General features: G+C 38.3%; 1 protein-coding gene across 8 annotated transcripts in view, besides 1 other annotated feature; it reads right to left on the bottom strand.

Annotated features, from left to right (window-relative positions):
* Window positions 1-17,877, bottom strand: part of MAP3K20 (mitogen-activated protein kinase kinase kinase 20) — a 192,499-nt gene that overhangs the window by 160,047 nt on the left and 14,575 nt on the right. For 6 of the 8 annotated variants that reach the window (XM_047444746.1, XM_017004324.2, NM_016653.3 and 3 more), the window contains exon 2: window positions 16,779-16,971. In XM_047444746.1, the coding sequence (XP_047300702.1) occupies window positions 16,779-16,937 (159 nt within the window). In that variant the 5' untranslated portion in view covers window positions 16,938-16,971. Of the gene's footprint in view, window positions 1-16,778; window positions 16,972-17,138; window positions 17,280-17,877 lie in introns of those variants that run through there. The other 2 variants (XM_005246640.3, XM_017004323.2) reach the window with 1 other exon arrangement.
* Window positions 10,321-10,490: an enhancer, noted in NCBI's record as "experimental_56377 CRE fragment used in MPRA reporter constructs". NCBI's record gives its function as "activates a minimal promoter by MPRAs in K562 erythroleukemia cells, with activity observed for both the introgressed and non-introgressed 2:173962292 variant alleles {active_cell/tissue: K562}" and the evidence as "EXISTENCE:reporter gene assay evidence [ECO:0000049][PMID:34662402]".

Below are 17,877 nucleotides of genomic sequence, written 5' to 3'. Positions count from 1 at the left end.
TAAGTCTTAAAAAAGCAAGTTATGCTGAAATAGTGCTAACAAGCCACAGGGGAGAGGAGAAATCTCGAATATGTTCCGACTGTCTGCTGCTGAAATCATAGCCCTAACCGCCACAGGTAACACGCACTGAGAGCTGAGTAGGAGCCAGGCACTGTACTTACCCAGATTACCTCATGTGGTCCTCACAATAGCCTTATGAAGTGGACTCTATTATTATCTGCATTTTATAAAAAAGGAAACTAAGGCTTGGTGCAGTCACTTTCCCATAAATCTAATAAGTAGTGGAGAAAGCATCTGAATCTACACCTGTCTGACGCTAAAGCCCAGGCTCTTAAACACGAAGCCATATTGCTTCCTAGGAATTAAATGCCTCCATTTGCAGCGCAAGGCAGAAGATGTTATTTAAAACATATATTTTATTTTAAAACATGTAAATAGGCGAGTCCTGAATACTCCAGGACTAGGCTCTGGGTGCCCTTATCCCTGTGCAGGTCAGCACAAGACAACCGGCTCCGGCTGCCCCCTCACCTCTCATGCCAATTCCTACAGGACCGCATGTATTCTAGCTGGATCCTCCTCCCATATCTTCTCAACTCCTGAAACCCTTGCACAAAGCCCCTCTATCCTGAACCTCTTCTCTAAACCTTCCCTTGCCTCCTCTGTCCAGAGCCTGGCCCTCCCCGGCAGCCCTCGCAATAGCTGCTGTTCTGTCTCTTGGCCCTTGCTCTGCAGAGCTTGGTGGGGAGCCCCTCATTACCACCTCCAGACAGTACTCTTTCCTACCACCTCCCAAAAGCTGAATCTTCTGTCATGAGATTGCATCATTCATGAGCCTTCATTGTTGCCATCATGTACCAATCCCTAGTTCACTCCCCTGTTTCTTAATGATTTTAGCCCCAGCTCACTGTCACTTTGTCCGATTACTATTCCTGTCTGGATGTGGGAATTTTCATGCACTTACAAGACCCTCAGACACCTGTTCTTTCAAGTCTTTGAACTCTTCCCCTGCAACAGTCTAGTCCTTCACCCTGCCGCAGTCACAAATTCCTTTGGTCATGACTTAGGAATTACCCATAACTGCACCTCTCTACAATCTAAAATCCAGGCCCCCTACTTGCTGACCACCAATTCCTGTATTTCCAGCTTCCTGCCTCCAGCACCTGAACTCCAGTAATCCCTTGACCTATCATTACCTGTTCCTATACCTTATGAGTGTCACACCCTTCCCTGAAGTCTTCCCTCCTTACTTAGCCTAAATTCCAGGCCAAATCACAGAATCCTTCCCCTGCAACCATCCTCAGCATCATGGTTCTACTTTTCCTTCAATGTACTCAGGAAAACCACAACCCTGAAGAAATCCAATTCTCTGTTTACTCCACCCTTGCAACTGTTGAGCTGAATATGGCTGAAGAAAACACATAACCTGATTGCTTCTCAGCAACCATACTACATTTCCCTAGTTCAGTGGTTCTCAATTTTTTCAATATAGACATTAATCATTCCAGCACCAATTCTAGAAAAGGTTACCCTTTTCCTCACTTAACTGCCTTGGCATCTTTGTCAAAAATCTACTGACCAAATATATGTGAGCCTAATTCTGGACTCTCTGTTCGGTTCCACTAGTCTATCTACACACAAATACCACACTATCTTGACTACTGTAGCTTTATGGTAAGCCATCAAATAAGTTTGTAGTACAAGTTCTCCATCATTACTGTTAGTTTTCATTTTTCATTACTCCAGGTCCTCTTCACTGCCATATGCTTTACAATCTACTTATCAATTTCTACAAAAAATTTAAAAAACTGGGTGTGTTATGATTTGGGATTATATTAAATCTTCAAATCAATTTTGGGGGAACTGACATCTGAATAAAAATATTCTGACCCATAAATGTAGGATATATTTCTTTTTTAAATGTATTCACTAATTTCTCACAGCAATGTCTTACAGTTTTCAGTGTAAAGATCTTACACAGACTTTTGTTAAATTTATCCTTCAGCATTTCATTTTTCTATAAATAGAACTTTGTTTTAAAAATTATAGTACATAACATAAAACTTACCAATTAAACCATTTTAAGTGCATAATTCAGGGGCGTTAATTACACTCACACTGTTGTGCAACTCTCATCATTATTCATTACCAGAATTTTTCCATCATCCCAAACAAAAATTCTATACCTATCAAACAATAATTCCCCACTCTCTCTCTCCCAGCCCCTGGTAATCTCTATTCTACTTTTTGTCTCTGAATATTGCCTATTCTAGGTACCTCATATAAGTGGAATTGTACAATATTGGTCCTTTTGTGTTAGGCCTATTTTTACTTAGCATACGTTTTCAAGATTCATCAATATTGTAGCATGGATCAGAATTGTATTCCTTCTTAAGGTTGAATAATAAATATTGTTTATCTGTTCATCTGTTGATGGACATTTAGGTTGCTTCCAAGTATTTCATATTTTTATTGCATTGTAAATGGTATTTAGGTGGCAGATTCTAATTGTTCATTGTTTGTATCAAAAAAGAACTCGACCTGCTCACAAACCTGCTCCTCTCTTGATTTCCCTTGCGCCCACGCACATCTTTCCATCTCCTCAGTGCAAAACCTCTGAGACGTCCTTGATTATTTTCACAGCCCATGGCCAATCAGTGAGCAAATCTGGTTAACTCTACCCCAAATTCAACCACTTCTCACTGCCTCCACTGCAACCTTCCTAGCCCCAGACACAAGCATCTCTCACTGAGATTACTGTAATAGAGCCATAACTGGTCCCCTGTCTCTGTCCCATGTAATCTCTTTTCAACAGTCTCCAGAGTGGTCATGTGAAAATGTAAGTCAAACCATTTCACGTCACTATTCAAAAGCATTCAACTGCTCACCATTTCCTTCCAATTTAGGTCGGAGGCTCTTATAATTGCCTACAAGGTCCAAGACCACTTGGCCTCATTGCCTCTCTGGCCCAACCTCTTGTTTCTCCTCCCTCACACACTCCACTCCAGCTACGATGGCCCCCTTGCTATTTCTCCAATACAACAGGCATGCTCCCACCTGCCATGGGCCTGTATCTGGAATGTTTTATCCCCCATGCTTGGTTCCCTCCCTTAATTCCTTCAAGTTTTTACTCAGTGTCACCTTCTTAGTGAGGCCTACCCTGACCAACTCATTGAAATTTGAACCCTAGCTCCTCTGGCACTCCTGATCTCCCTTACTCTGCCCTATTTTCCCCTTATATTAATTAAAATAAACTTTTTATTCTGGAATAATTCTAGGTTCACAGAAAGGTTGCAAAGATGGTACAGATAGTTCTTCTTGCCCTGTTTTCCCCCCATGTTAACATGCTGCATCACCAGGGTATATTTGTCAAAGCTAAGAAGCCAACATTGATACATGACTATGAACTAAACTCCAGGCTTTATTGACATTTCACTATTTTTTCCACCAACATCTTTTTTTTTCTGTTCTAGAATCCAATTCAGGATACCACACTGTGTATATTCATCACATTTCCTTATCTCTTGTGGTCTGTGACAGTTTCTCAGTCTTTCCTTGTTTCCCAAAACCTCAAAGTCTTGAGGAGCACTGGGGCCAGGTATTTTGTAGACTGTCCATCAGCTTTGGTTTGCCTGATATTTTCCTCATGACTAGACTGGGGTTATGGTTTTAGGGGAAGAAAACCTCAGGGGTAAAATGCTTTGCTCACCAAATCATATGTGGGATACACGTTATCAACCTGACTAATTACTAGTGTTGTTAGCCCTCATCACTTGGTTAAGGAGGCATCTGTCAGGTTAGCCCACTGTAAAGTTACTAACTATTCCTTTTCTATACTTGAATCTTTGGAAATGAATCACTAAATTCAGCCCCTAGCCCTGGCAGGTATAGGTCTTATATTTTCTAATGTGTTGACATACCATTTATTTTCTTATTCCCCACATTTGAAGGTAAACTCTAAAAAACATGAATCCTTGTATCTTTTATTTACCAGTGTAGTTCCAGTATCTAGAATAGTACCTAGCATGTAATAAATACTCAATATTTGTTGGATGGCTGAATTACAGAAAAGAAAGTTACCTCAGAATCTGTTCAGGTCACAGTTTCCTAGTGTCAAGTATGCACCTCCCCACCTAGAAAAATATGTGCTCAGGAAACAAATCAGGTATGTTTTGTACTTCAAGGTATTATTCACATGTAGAGTTACCTCTTTCAGTGGTATCTGCAGTTCTATTATGGGAAACAACCTTAAAGAATAAAGTTACAAGATAAAACTGGAAGTGTTAGCAGTAGGCTTGAATAGAGAATCTATGCGAAGTGCTTAGAATAGTAGCTGTAAATAACAGAAACTAAAGAAATGTTAATTTTTTTCTATTTCCTCACCTTACATTTAGGTGAGAGAGATTTCAGAGATACAGAGGGCCTTCCTGGAACTTCAAAACATGCTTACTTTATCTGCTAATAATCTTAAATCCTTTTTGAAACAAGGCCAGAGTATAAACTTTTTAACACTTCATACTCCCAAGTCCATTTAATATTAATTAATTTGATCTCTTCCTAAAATCTGCTCTTGGTCTGGTCAACACTTGAGGTCAGTATATCCAGAATCAGGATTTCCCACAGAGCCTCACTGATCTGAGAGAGGTGTCCTGGCCTTACTACAATCCCTAGGCTTCTTTGCACATAAGGTTTTTCCCATAGAAGAATGCAAGCCACACTTAGAGGCCTAGGCTTTACTGTGTAGTTAAGAAGACATCCTGAGGTTTTAGGGAGAAAAAGTCCCTCGCTTTCACAACTTTAAAGATTTGTTCAGCAGCGGATGCTCACTAAACTTTGTATTATATTTTAAAATAGCCACCAAGTGATTAAAATAAAAATGAGTATATATTTCTTTTTTTCTTTTCTTTTTTTTCTTTTTGAGATGGAGTTTTGCTCTTGCGGCCCAGGCTAGATTGCAATGGTGCGATCTCGGCTCACTGCAACCTCTAATTCCTGGGTTCAAGCGATTCTCCTCCCTCAGCCTCCCGAGTATCTGGGATTACAGGCACCAGCTAATTTTTGTATTTTTAGTAGAGACAGGGTTTTGGCCAGGCTGGTCTCGAACTCCTGACCTCAGGTGATCTGCCCACCTATGAGTATATGTTTCTTAAGGTAGATTCTATGTTCCAATAATGGAAGCAATTCAGTTTCCGACTAATGGAAGCACTGCTTGGCATGTTTTTAAAATGTCGTGAGATCAGCTGATTTTGTACATTACTTGCTGAATACAATCTCTGGAAAGCAGAGCTGCCATACAGTCTCCTCCCTCTTTAACAAACATTTTCATACTTACCAGTGCTGCTTCTCTAATGCACCTAATTCTGCCAAGCATTATTTTCTTGAAGAACAGTATCAGGGATAAGAGTCATATTTTCAAGTCATTAAAATTCTGGCAGTCTCATTTCATTTAGGACACCTTAATTTTTCTCAGGTCATGAATCAGTGAACATCTGATATTAGCAGGGCTAAGAAAAAGCATCTTGGATTCCTTTTTGGGAAATATGTTCAAAAACAAACCAGATAAGAACCACGGCCAGGAAAACATCCTTTCTAGCTGCTATAGAACAGAACCCTTCATTCAAAGACAAAGTAATTTATTAAGAACTCAAAAAATCAGCCAAACATGGAGAAGAAAAGGCTATAAAGTAGGGTAGGAATGGCAAGCTGTATTCTTTTCTGAAGATTCATTAACAGTGAAACCTTTCTGTAAATCTTACAAAGAAGAGAAAGTTGAGATGTGATCATTATGTTTATTATTCTTTTCATTTATATCCTATCCATTATTGACTGCTTATTGTGGACCAGGTACTGTGTAGAGTCCAGAAAGTACAAAGATCAATAAGGTACAGATGCCATCCTCTAGAAGCTGATACATGGAAGAAGGTAAGATTTGTTGTATATGGCCCCGGAGGCAGGGACCAGGAACAATGGCTGGAAGTTACATTATAAAGGACTTTCTAAGAAGCTGTTCCAAACTAGAGCAGACTGCATCTCATATGTCATCAATGGCAGTGTTCAAACAGAAACTGGATGTCCTAACCGGGAGTATGAGTCAAGCATCAGTGAAAAAAAATTGATAACATGGCCTCTATTCTTGGGTAATTTCATGTCAGTGACTTCCCATCTTCACTACAGAACAGAGAAGAAAATTCTAGGTACTTTTTAAATATTCAAGTGAGATAATTCTATTTTTGAAGACTAAGAGCCAGTCATATCAATTTTGAAACTATCTGAAATACTTACGGGCTGCTTTTTCTCTCCTCCAATTTTTCAATTTCTCAATTCTCTATATTAGGCTTTGAGTTTCTCAGGAATTGAATTCATGCTGTATACTATTTTTCTTCTAATAGCAAGAGCCTAGCTTTGTATAACATCAGCTACTCAGGCTGTAACATTTTTACTGAAATACGTTAATTGGTTTTACTTCAGCATAATATTTCCAGCATGGCTGTAGAACAAATATTAACTAACTGAAATGTTTATTGCTCAATATGCTGAGATCAATAATACTTTAATGAAAAGGTGAAATAACAGTTGCAATGTTTCTCATAAGGCAAACTGAAATTAACCTCCATGTACAGGTAAATATATTATCTAACAAAGCTTTGAAAGGATTTTTAAAAATTTTAAAGACTAAGTAGCAAACATAAGAAGGATTAGGGGCTTTGGCTTGCAAATAAAACATTTTTATGGTCACACTAATCATCTAAAAAAAATCAGTGGTGTTTGTCTTAATGTAACTACATTTCACATAACATGGTAGGAACATTATTTATAATTCAGGTAATTTTCCAAATTCCTCTAGGTCCTAGGAGAAGCCTTTCTGGTGGCTCTTCCTCAGTGACCTCTCTCCTAAGGTTTGAGTTATCTTCAGACATATCAGTAATACATGTTACTCATTTTAATACATTTATTTGCTCAACATGTGTCCAATTTCCTCTAACACCTTTATAGCAGTTCACCTTGGAGTGTCTTAGATTACAAGCTCCCAGTAACAGAAATGTCTGGTAGAAAAGAGCAGAGTGATGGATGGCTATTCAACATATACTTCCGGATGATGACTATGTTCATTATCAAATAAAATGATCCATTATTTTAAATTGCTTACTCTCCAATTCAAAATGATGATTTATATACGTAGCACAATGTTAAAGCACTGCACAGTGACACGTTTAAAATTCCTTAAGCAGAAATGGCATGCCAGTCTAAAAGGCACAAAAGCAAGGGCATTTATAAAAACCAGACATCAGGAACCCTACAGAAAGGGCAATACCTAAGAGTTTGTTACTATGTAGGTGAATGCAAGTGTGTTACTGTACTTACAGTGACATGGTAAAGACACGAGTTCTACCCTCTTCACAGCTCAAAGCAGAGTAAATGAAGAAAATGTAGGTATGTCAATACAAGATACATTTCCTAGATGAACAAAAATGAGAGGTATGTCCACTGCGACACAATACCAGGTATCAAGGAACAAATACTTCAATGTTCACTGGGAGCAAAGCACAATGGCAGGTGTTGTGAGGCTGGCAAGGAAGACCCAAGTGAACGATGCTGTTTATATTAGGCAGGCTGCTTAACTTCCCTGAGCCTTAGTTTCCATCAAATGCAGATTATAATCTTATAAAGTGACTGTGAAGAAGAAGAGGGCAATGGTGTAAAGCCCTTCACCAAATTCAGGCTCACAGTGGTAGCAGTACTTGGTAGAGTGATGATGTCTAGTGACAGCATCAGCTACAAAGACAGTCCTGCTCTCAGAAAGTTCACAACAGGACATCAAATGCACCACACATGTGCTTGCCCACTGTATTCACCCTGAGCCTTGCCAGGCTGCCTTTGCTGCTAACTGTATATGTGGCATCTGATCCCTTCTCAGCATGAGGCCTAGATATCAGCTAATTAACATTTTCACAAAAGATGACATCTAGCTGCTGTTCTGACTGTGGGGTACAGTTGTGAAGATGCGAGTGATCGTTAACAGTTATCCAAGTCTTCCTATGAGTCAAGCACTCTTCTACATACATTTCACATATATGATCTCATTCAATCCTCTCAACAACTCTTATGATGTGGGTACTATCATTAGCCCTGCTTTTCAGATGAGAAGACATAGCATGTTCACATGAAAACTTAGGTGGCAATTTCTCACTGGAATGCAGAGTCACAGGCAGTTTTAACCATCGGTCAAATTAGTACTATGGGTATTATGTGGTATAAATTCAGAAGAGAAAGAGAAAATACGCTTGTATGACTGAGAATGCTTCACAGAGAAGGAAATAATTACAGCTGAAGAATGGGTAGGATCTGCCCAGACAGGGAAGACAAAGGTATTACAAGTGAAGGAAAGAATGTGAACAAGGTTACAAAAATTAAAAAAGTAATGCAGAAGAACAGTTGGACAGGAGTGGAGAGATCCTGTCAGAAAATAAAAAAAGACAAAATAAAACAGCTGAGTGAGAGGGCTTGCACCTGTTAATCTCAGCCACTTGGGAGACTGAGCTGGGAGGATGGCTTGAGCCCAGGAGTTCGAGGCTAGAGTGAGCTCGCTATATTCCAGCCTGGGGGACAGAGGGAGACCCTGTCTCAAAAAAAAAAAACAAAACAAAACACAAAACACAAAACAAACAAACAAAAACAACAGAAGGAAGGAAGGAAGGAAGAAAAAAAAAAGGCCGGAAAGTCAGATTAGCACCACTATGAGAAGGGGCTGGAATTTGAAAGTATTGGCCTGAGGTTTCATGTACATTTGCCATTCCTAAGTCAGCCTTCAGTTTATTATGTGCATAGGTGGTCATCTACAATGGGTGAAGTTAAGAGCCTAAAGGCCTCTAAGAGCAAAAACCTCTCCGCCACTTTTTGACAAGGTACCCAAAATTCCAAACTGAAGTTATACTGTCTGTATTTAGCATATGATTGGCTAGGTACAATAAAAGTAGTGGTTCTCAAACTCTAGGGGACATCAGAAACAACTAGAAAGCTGGTTAAAACACAGATTGCTGGGCGCTACCTCCCAGTTTCTGACTCATTTGGTGTGGGGTGAGGCCCAAGAATTTGTATTTCTAACAAATTCTCAGGTGATGCTTAATGCTGCTGGTCCAGGGACCACACTTTGAGAGAACCACTGACCTAAAAGGATAAAATCCAGAATGAACAAATTCTAACTGGGGAGAGAAAAATTTTATATGAGATTATTTAATAACTCACAAAGGGACTCCTGAGTGAAGGGGAAGAGACTAGGCATGTGGAGATGCTATAACCAATATTCTTCAGCCATAAAAGAGTACATTTGAAAGTACGGGTTGAGTATCTTTTCCAAAATGGCTGGGACCAGAAGTATTTGGATTTTATCAGATTTTGGAATATTTGCATATATACAATGAGATATCTTGGGGATGGGACCCAAGGCTAAACATGAAATCAATTTATGTTTCATCTGTATCTTATACCTGGAGGCAATTTTATACAATACTTTAAATAATGCTGGGCATGAAACAAAGTTTAGACTGCGACCTGTTACATGAGGTCAGGTGTGATATTTTCCACTTGTGTTGTCACATCAGCACTCAAAAAGTTTGTGATTTTGGAGCTTTTTGAATTTCAGATTTTCAGATTAGGGATACTCAACTTGTACCAAATTAAAATGTTAGCTCTGGTATAGTTAACAAAGCTCTCTCCATGCTTAAAAATACCAGTGGCCACTCTTGAGCACCGCTTTGGACGAGTTATTATAGAAACTATGCCAGAACTCAATAGCGATTGTCAAATATCTAAGATAATTAATTTTTATTTGTATTGGTCCCATCGATATACTTAAATATTGAGAGGATTTACAAAGAAAGTAAATGTGGCATTATTCTTCTTTAACGTGTTTGGGTCAGGGGGAAATATTTAAAATAGCACTTACAATTAAAACAAATTTAAAGAATTTATTAATAAAAAGTTAGCAACAGAACTGCATAGAAAAGAAGAAGGGTCTCCCTCCCATGAGCTAATAAAGTGATAACATTTAACTAGCCTTCCATAAATCACTAAACGATATCATATTGATTAACTGAGTATAATAAAAGCTTTTTATTTTTTGCTCTTGGTTCTCTGTCAATTTCAAGATTATATTTCCTATTTCACACAGGTATTTTCCCCTTTATATAAAAATTATTGATAGTTCCTGTTATTATAACCAGTTTGACATGTTGATCTTCTCTCCTTATCTATAAATATTTATAACGTGGAATAAATTTGAAACTTGAATTTATCTGGCTTCCGACATTTCTAAAGCAGTGAAATTTGGTAGGATGCTTTTTCTTTTAAAATAAGGGTAGTGGTGTCTTACAAAAGCCAAGACAGATGAAGAAAAGGCCTTATATATTACCTCTTAAGGATTCTGCTTCCTTTTGATTCAATTGAGTATCAACAGATTTCAAGTTAACATAAAGGCTGTCAGGTTCCCATCTCTTCCAGACAGAAAAAAAAATACTATGTACAGACATATCTTGTTCAATTTATTATCAAATATACACAAGAGTACAAATAAGTTGCTGTGATTAATTGTGTTTTGTTTTTGTTTTTGTATTGATTTTGAGACAGAGTCTCACTCTGTAGCCCAGGCTGGAGTGCACTGGCACCATCTTGGCTCACTACAACCTCTGCCTCCCGGGTTCAAGCAATTCTCCTGCCTCAGCCTCCCGAGTAGCTGGAACTACAGGCGCCCGCCACCATGCTTGGCTAATTTTTGTATTTTTAGTAGAGACGGGGTTTCGATCTCTTGACCTCGTGATCCGCCCGCCTCGGCCTCCCAAATTGTTGGGATTACAGGCGTGAGCCACTGCACTAGGCCAATTAATTGTTTTCAAAAGTTAACATTCAAGCTGATGAACTCTTTGTCATGTTGGGAGTGTTCTCCTCTGGGCAGTAGCTGTAAATAGGACATTGCAGTCACAATGTCTTTCTGCACCACTTCTACTTGTCTCTTAAATTTCTGCCTAAGCAGTTCAATTTGATCCCAGCTCATCTGGAATTCATCAAAAAGATACAATAGTGGCTTCCTTTCTTACCTTTGGTGTATATGCTTAAGATCATATGATTTTCTCCTATTGCAAACACTATTTAAAACAGAAATAAATAGTACACTGTAAGTAAATCTGCAAATAATGTAAACAAGCTAAACTGAGGTCTTGCACTACTATGGAAAAGCGATATGAAAGTAAACATTAAACACTCTACAGCCACATATTGAGAGTGGAAAATTAGTGTTGTGTGATATGCTAAGGAGGTTTACAAAACTCAATTCACTAGATTGGCCGGGTGCAGTGGCTCACGCCTGTAATCCCAGCACTTTGGGAGGCCGAGGTGGGTGGAGCACGAGGTCAGGAGATCGAGACCATCCTGGCTAACACGGTGAAACCCCGTTTCTACTAAACTACAAAAAATTACCCAGGCGTGGTGGCACATGCCTGTAGTCCCAGCTACTCAGGAGGCTGAGGCAGGAGAATCGCTTGAACTCGGGAGGCAAAGGTTGCAGTGAACGGAGATTGCACCACTGCGCTCCAGCCTGGGCAAAAGAGCGAGACTCTGTGTCAAAAAAAAAAAAAGGAAAAAAGAAAAAAAGAGAGTGACATACATTGCCACAGCTACACTTTTTTAAATTGAATTTTTCTGATTATAAAAGTAAATGTGTGGGTCATGTGGTATTTACATTTCTCAAAACTTGAGGTAAATTTTATCCCAGAAGAAAACAAAACTGCAAACACATACTGAATTCTAGGAACAATATACAGGATGAAGTGTTTAAGGAGAAGCACACTGATGCCTGCAACTTATTTGAAATGTATCAAAATGAATTAATGAATGGAAGGGTAGATAGCTGCATACACATCTTATAACGCAAGTATTTATATTAATGATAGGCACTAGATGGTAGGTATGCAAATATTTACTACAAAACCTTTTCACCTTTTCTTTATGTTTGAAATTTTTCACAATAAAATGTTGCGGGGAAAAGAAATGTAAAATCATCATAGGAAAATATGAAAAACAAGGTACAGTATAAGAAAAATAAAAGCACCATACAGACACAAAACCTATACCTGGGATCATATTGTATATAATGTTTTGTAACTTCCTTTCACCACTTAGCACTATACAATGAGCATTTTCCTTGCTTTCTAAATGTTCTTCCAAATGGAAGAGAAATCAATTATATAGCTGCAACGTAATTTGTAATTTCCAATTCTTCCTTGTTATACATCTGAGAAGAATCCTATAATTATATCCATCTTTCTGCACATCTCTGATTATTAAGTCCCAGAGCAAGATTCCTGGCCCAAAGAAGTAAACATTTTAAGATTCTTGATACATTTTGCTAAACTCTTCTCCAGAAAGGTTTACCAATTTACATTCCTAATAGCAGTGTATCACAGATGTAGCTAACCAGAGCCATGAGTTTACATTTCAAATAAAATGCTTTCATGAATAAAATTTCTCTGTAACCATAATTTCTGTCAAAAAGACAATGTTCTTTTTAAAAAAGTCTAAAGTAAACAATCCTAGTACCCAAATCTTGGTTCCTAAATAATATACTCCAAAATCAGGTATATTGACTCAGGGCTTCTCAAAAACATGGCTGACTCCAGGAATGAGACAGGAACTAGATGAGCCTAGTACATCTTTTTGTGCCTGAAGTAAGAAAATCATAAAAAAATGACAGCGACATACCAAAAGGACACAAGAGCCAGCTGGAAAGAGCTCTTACTTGCTAAATTTGGGATAGTTTAAGCATGAAAATGAATAACACTAATGGATTATAACATTCTGAATTCCAAAAAGTCTTTAAGTATACGATCAAACAATAAATACATGAATGAATGGTTGACTAAAGGAAGAAAGGAAAAAATAAGGGCAAACTCACTTATGCTAGAACTTTTTACTTTCTGCACAGTAAACTGTTATAGTACTATTTGATCCAAACAAGAATCATCAATAGATGCTAAAAACATTAGTAAATGTTTGCTGAGGAAAGATATTTACTTAGCTTCAAAGTATCTACCAATAGCTTAATTATTAATTACAAAGGAAAAATAGGTATTTTCTTGTACTGTGGAGAAATTGGGTAAACCCCTCTTAACTAAGCATTCAAAACTAACATCATCAATAATGAGACTAACCAACATCACAAGACACCCATTAAGACACACCAAGGACACACAACCTATGTAGTTTTCCTGCCAAAACTACATAAACTCTGACTAGGCTGGGGGCTGGGGAGGAAATCACATAAACCCCAAATGAGGGACATTATACAAAACACTTATCCTATACTTTTCCAAAATGTCTACGTCTTAAAAGACAGAGAAAGGCAGAGAAACTGTTCCAGATTAAGCCGGGCTAAACAGACATGTCGATTATATGCAATATACGATCCTGGATTGGATCCTGGGTTGGAAAAATTGCCATCAAAAGCTCGCATTGCAAAAGTTGGCAAAATGTGAATATAGACTGTATAACAAGTAACATTATTGTTATCATTGTTACATTTTTTGAATTTGTTAATTGTACTGTGGTTGTGTTTTGGGAGATGCTGAAGTATTTAGGGATAAAGGTACATGGCATCTGTAATGTACTCTCATCGTTCAGCAAAAATCATACAATATATATGAATACATATAAATCAATAACATATAGAGAAAAAGCAAATGTAAAATGTTACTAAATGGTGAGTGTAGGGGAAGAATAAAACGTACTAGAGTTCATAGTAGTATTCTTTTAATTGTTCTCTAGGTTTAAAAAAATTTTTTTTTATTATACTTTAAGTTTTAGGGTACATGTGCACATTGTGCAGGTTAGTTACATATGTATACACGTGCCATGCTGGTGTGCTGCACCCACTAACTCGTCATCTAGCATTAGGTATATCTCCCAGTGCTATCCCTCCCCCCTCCCCCCACCCCACAACAGTCCCCAGAGTGTGATGTTCCCCTTCCTGTGTCCATGTGATCTCATTGTTCAATTCCCACATATGAGTGAGAATATGTGGTGTTTGGTTTTTTGTTCTTGCGATAGTTTACTGAGAATGATGATTTCCAATTTCATCCTTGTCCCTACAAAGGACATGAACTCATCATTTTTATGGCTGCATAGTATTCCATGGTGTATATGTGCCACATTTTCTTAATCCAGTCTATCATTGTTGGACATTTGGGTTGGTTCCAAGTCTCTGCTATTGTGAATAATGCTGCAATAAACATACGTGTGCATGTGTCTTTATAGCAGCATGATTTATAGTCCTTTGGGTATATAAAAATTTTTTTAAATAAAGTTTTAAAGAACTACAGAGATTTTAAGTAAATACAGTCTTTCTTTTTTGTTTTTAAATAAAGTAGTAGTATACCCACTAAAACAGAGAAAAGTAGTACATACTCACTACACTAGAGGTCTGCAAATAAAGTGAAAGTAAATAGTCTTCCTTTCTCCTCTCACATAAACAAAGTTAGAGTTTGGTATATATTTTCTCTACATTTTGCTAAGTTTATAGAACATATATTTAGTCTAATATTAAGTCATTCTTAAAGAGTCACATGAAATGAGCTGCGAACATTTTATTAAGTGTTCCATTGCTTCTAAAACTCATTGGCAAAAAACAACCAAGTGACATGGAACTGGATCTATAAATTTGGAAAAAATCCAGGGCTTATTACCTTTATCTTATCACTTAGAAAACACCTAGCCAGAAGCCAACACACATTTCATAAAGCATAACAATTATTTACATAAGAAATGTATATTTCCTTGCTAGTAACTGTCAACTCCTCGCCATAACTTTTTATGTCTTAAACTCATGTTATTCCAGTACAAATAGGGGTTCTTTGCCATAATTTACTGTGTCTCTTTATCACTCATAATCACTGACTAAGCCCCAAAGCAAAAGTGGAGGTTTTGTTTTTCCTACCTACAGGTTTATGAGTTATGCTCTTACAGTTTACTGGAATCAACTCAATTTCTGAATTACCTACATTCATGTTAAATACCTGCACGAAAGCAGGATTTGGCAGTTTCCAATTCCTGCTTTCACTCCTGCACTTTCCTATGTCATTTTCCTGGCTCTCCCAAGAATAGAAGAAAAGGTATTATGTAGGTATCCTTGGGGAGGGGGGAGTGGAGTGAACGGGTTACAATTAATATTTTCCTATCAAAATCTGTTTCATGTCTCATAAAATCTTTTTCACATCGAACAATCATATAAGAACATGTTCCTTTTACTAAAGTTGTACAATCTAAAGCTAAAATATTAGCATATATATAAATAACTGACTATAAATGGATGGAGCAGGTTTAGTTTTCTCTTCGTACCTGGTCAATTAGAGGTTTCAGAGTCAAAAACTAAAGAACAGGGGTTCTAGCCTCCTGGATTTCATTTGCCCCTCCTGGGGCAGCTTAATACATTTCGCAAAGCTCTATTTCCCAATCCATAAAATGGGGACAATAATGCTTCCTATAAAGGACTTAAAGAATTGATCAGCTAAAAGGGCTAGGTTCAGTCCAAGGTAAGACATGGATTTATTACTTGGCTACCATTAAAAATTTTTATTGATTGAGAAATGGGGGAAAGGGAAAGTGACTTTCTCATACCCAGTACCTTTCTGTTTTGTGTACGGATGGGCTTTAAAAGCTCTCCTTTCTTAATGTCTTCCAAAAACCTATAGATTCCCCAAGGCAGAGATCTCTCAGTCCTTCTAACCTGGCTTCAACAATTGGAAACACAGCTGGTGATCACACAATTACACAGCACCGCTGGGAGGAAACTCACAAAGTGCTACCATTTGGGTTTCCTTCTCTAATCAATTGCTATGGTTCACTGGCAGCAGTTAATGAAAAAAATGAAATCATTCAGGGAGATTAAAGGATATTTATGGGAAAGTTCACTTTAAAAAGATATTGAACAATAATTTGCCAAAACAGGGCGTAAATAGAAATGACCAAAACCAGCTCCAGAGGGTCGCTGCTGAAGTTATCAATGCTGCTGAGTCCCTGCAGGTCAGCTCTGTAATTACTTTTATTCTCATGGTACCAAACTGAATGTGACAACCATGTTATATCTCATTCCTGAGAAGGATGACAGTTCTAAGAACTCTGAGCTCAACTAGGACCAGCACAAATCCCAGGCTCTGAAAGCCAAGACCCTTTTCTGATTTTACTAGGAGGACAGCTCTCTGTCTGGCACCTATTAATTCTATATAATACAAAGACCATCACTGTTAGCCTTAAGTAGAGGTGAAATCCAAGAAACAGGTACTGCATATTTCAGTTAAAAAAAACAGTGTCTTATCTTTTAAAAGACAACTGCTGATGACCAGAAGTTCAAGCAGAGAAAATGGAAAGGGTATAAAAACTTCACACATTACTCTTTACCGACCCCTCTTGGCTGCCCAGGGAAGAGAAAAGCTTGAACCCTGGGAAGGTCTAAAATCTCACCTCTGCCTCCAGGAGAGCTCAGAGAACATTTGGTCTTTCATGCCCTGGAAAGAAATCCTCTTACTTCAGCTGACCCCTAGTAGAACTCAACCCTAAAGCACACGCTGCAATAATTTCTATTTATGGGGCTCCCAGAATGGAAATTGGGAAACGGCCTCGTGGATCAGTCCCAAAGGCCTTGCTAGGTCTCTTGCAGCCCTGTGACCCTCTAACTCGAGGTTGAAAAAGCTTACATAAATGGTATCGTGACTGTTTCTGTCAGCTGGAAAAGACCTTACCTCTTTCTCTATTTTGAGGAGCTTCTTTACAGCCACCTCCTTGTCCTGTGATATCCATTTGGCTCGATAAACACTCCCAAAACTTCCTCCACCGCAGTTTTCAAAAAACTGCAAGTCATCAAATTTAATTTGCACAAAGGAGGCACCGAGAGACGACATCTCATAATGACAAAGTATTATACTTCCACAAAATCTGCAGAAAGAAAGAAAAAGAAAAGCTGAATTACAAATATATTAGGCTAAATCCTCTGAATCCTACTTTAGATAATATATCATGAACGAGTCCTGTGAAACTTCCAGAAAGTCACGGTGACTTAGGAAGAAGAAAAGCAAGATTATAAACAATTCGAAAACACTCACCCTGGCAGCCCACGCAAAATTCAACAACAACCTGCCCAGACTTTGAAACACAGCTGCCCACAGAGAAATGGCTCAGATATCCCCCAGACAAAACCTGCAGCAGCACTTCCTACTCATCCCAAGGAGCTCTGCCGAAAGGCTACTGTGTCACCAGGTCTCCTCTCAGGAAGCCCTGACAGACGGGAAGCATGCTTTCCACAGCAAGCTTGCATAGCTCCCCTGGCATCTGAGGCATGCCACCTCTCCACGCTGCACTCACTTCACACAAAATATACACAACCTAAGCCACCGAGCATCCTGGTACACAGACAGCCAAACGGCTGCAAACTGAACACACAATAAACGTTGACTCCAAAAACAAACTTTCAGGTTAGGGATGACAGAAAAGCTGGACTGTTTGCCAGAAGTGGCTCTCTGGACTGTATACTGTAACAAAACTTAAAGAGTAGAAAAAATTTGCCCTTGATTACAATATATTAAGTCATCGAAAGAATACTGCCAAGGACGTTAAAAAATATTATGCTTGTTTCCAAAGAAACGTATTACCCCTCCCAGAGATTATTCTAGTGATCTTTCCTACAGTCTAAGGAGTTTTACTATTCTCCAGGTAAGTGGCCATTGTTAACACTGTATGCCAAACCATAGATTAGTGAGACTTACAAACACAAAAACTGGACTAAAATTGGGTTAAAATTTTGAACCTACATAAAATGCTTAAAATTAGTGGATAAAAAAGTTT

This window comes from Homo sapiens, chromosome 2, assembly GCF_000001405.40.
Source record: "Homo sapiens chromosome 2, GRCh38.p14 Primary Assembly".
NCBI classification, from domain to species: domain Eukaryota; kingdom Metazoa; phylum Chordata; class Mammalia; order Primates; family Hominidae; genus Homo; species Homo sapiens.
This window is presented reverse-complemented; position numbering and strand designations above follow the sequence as displayed.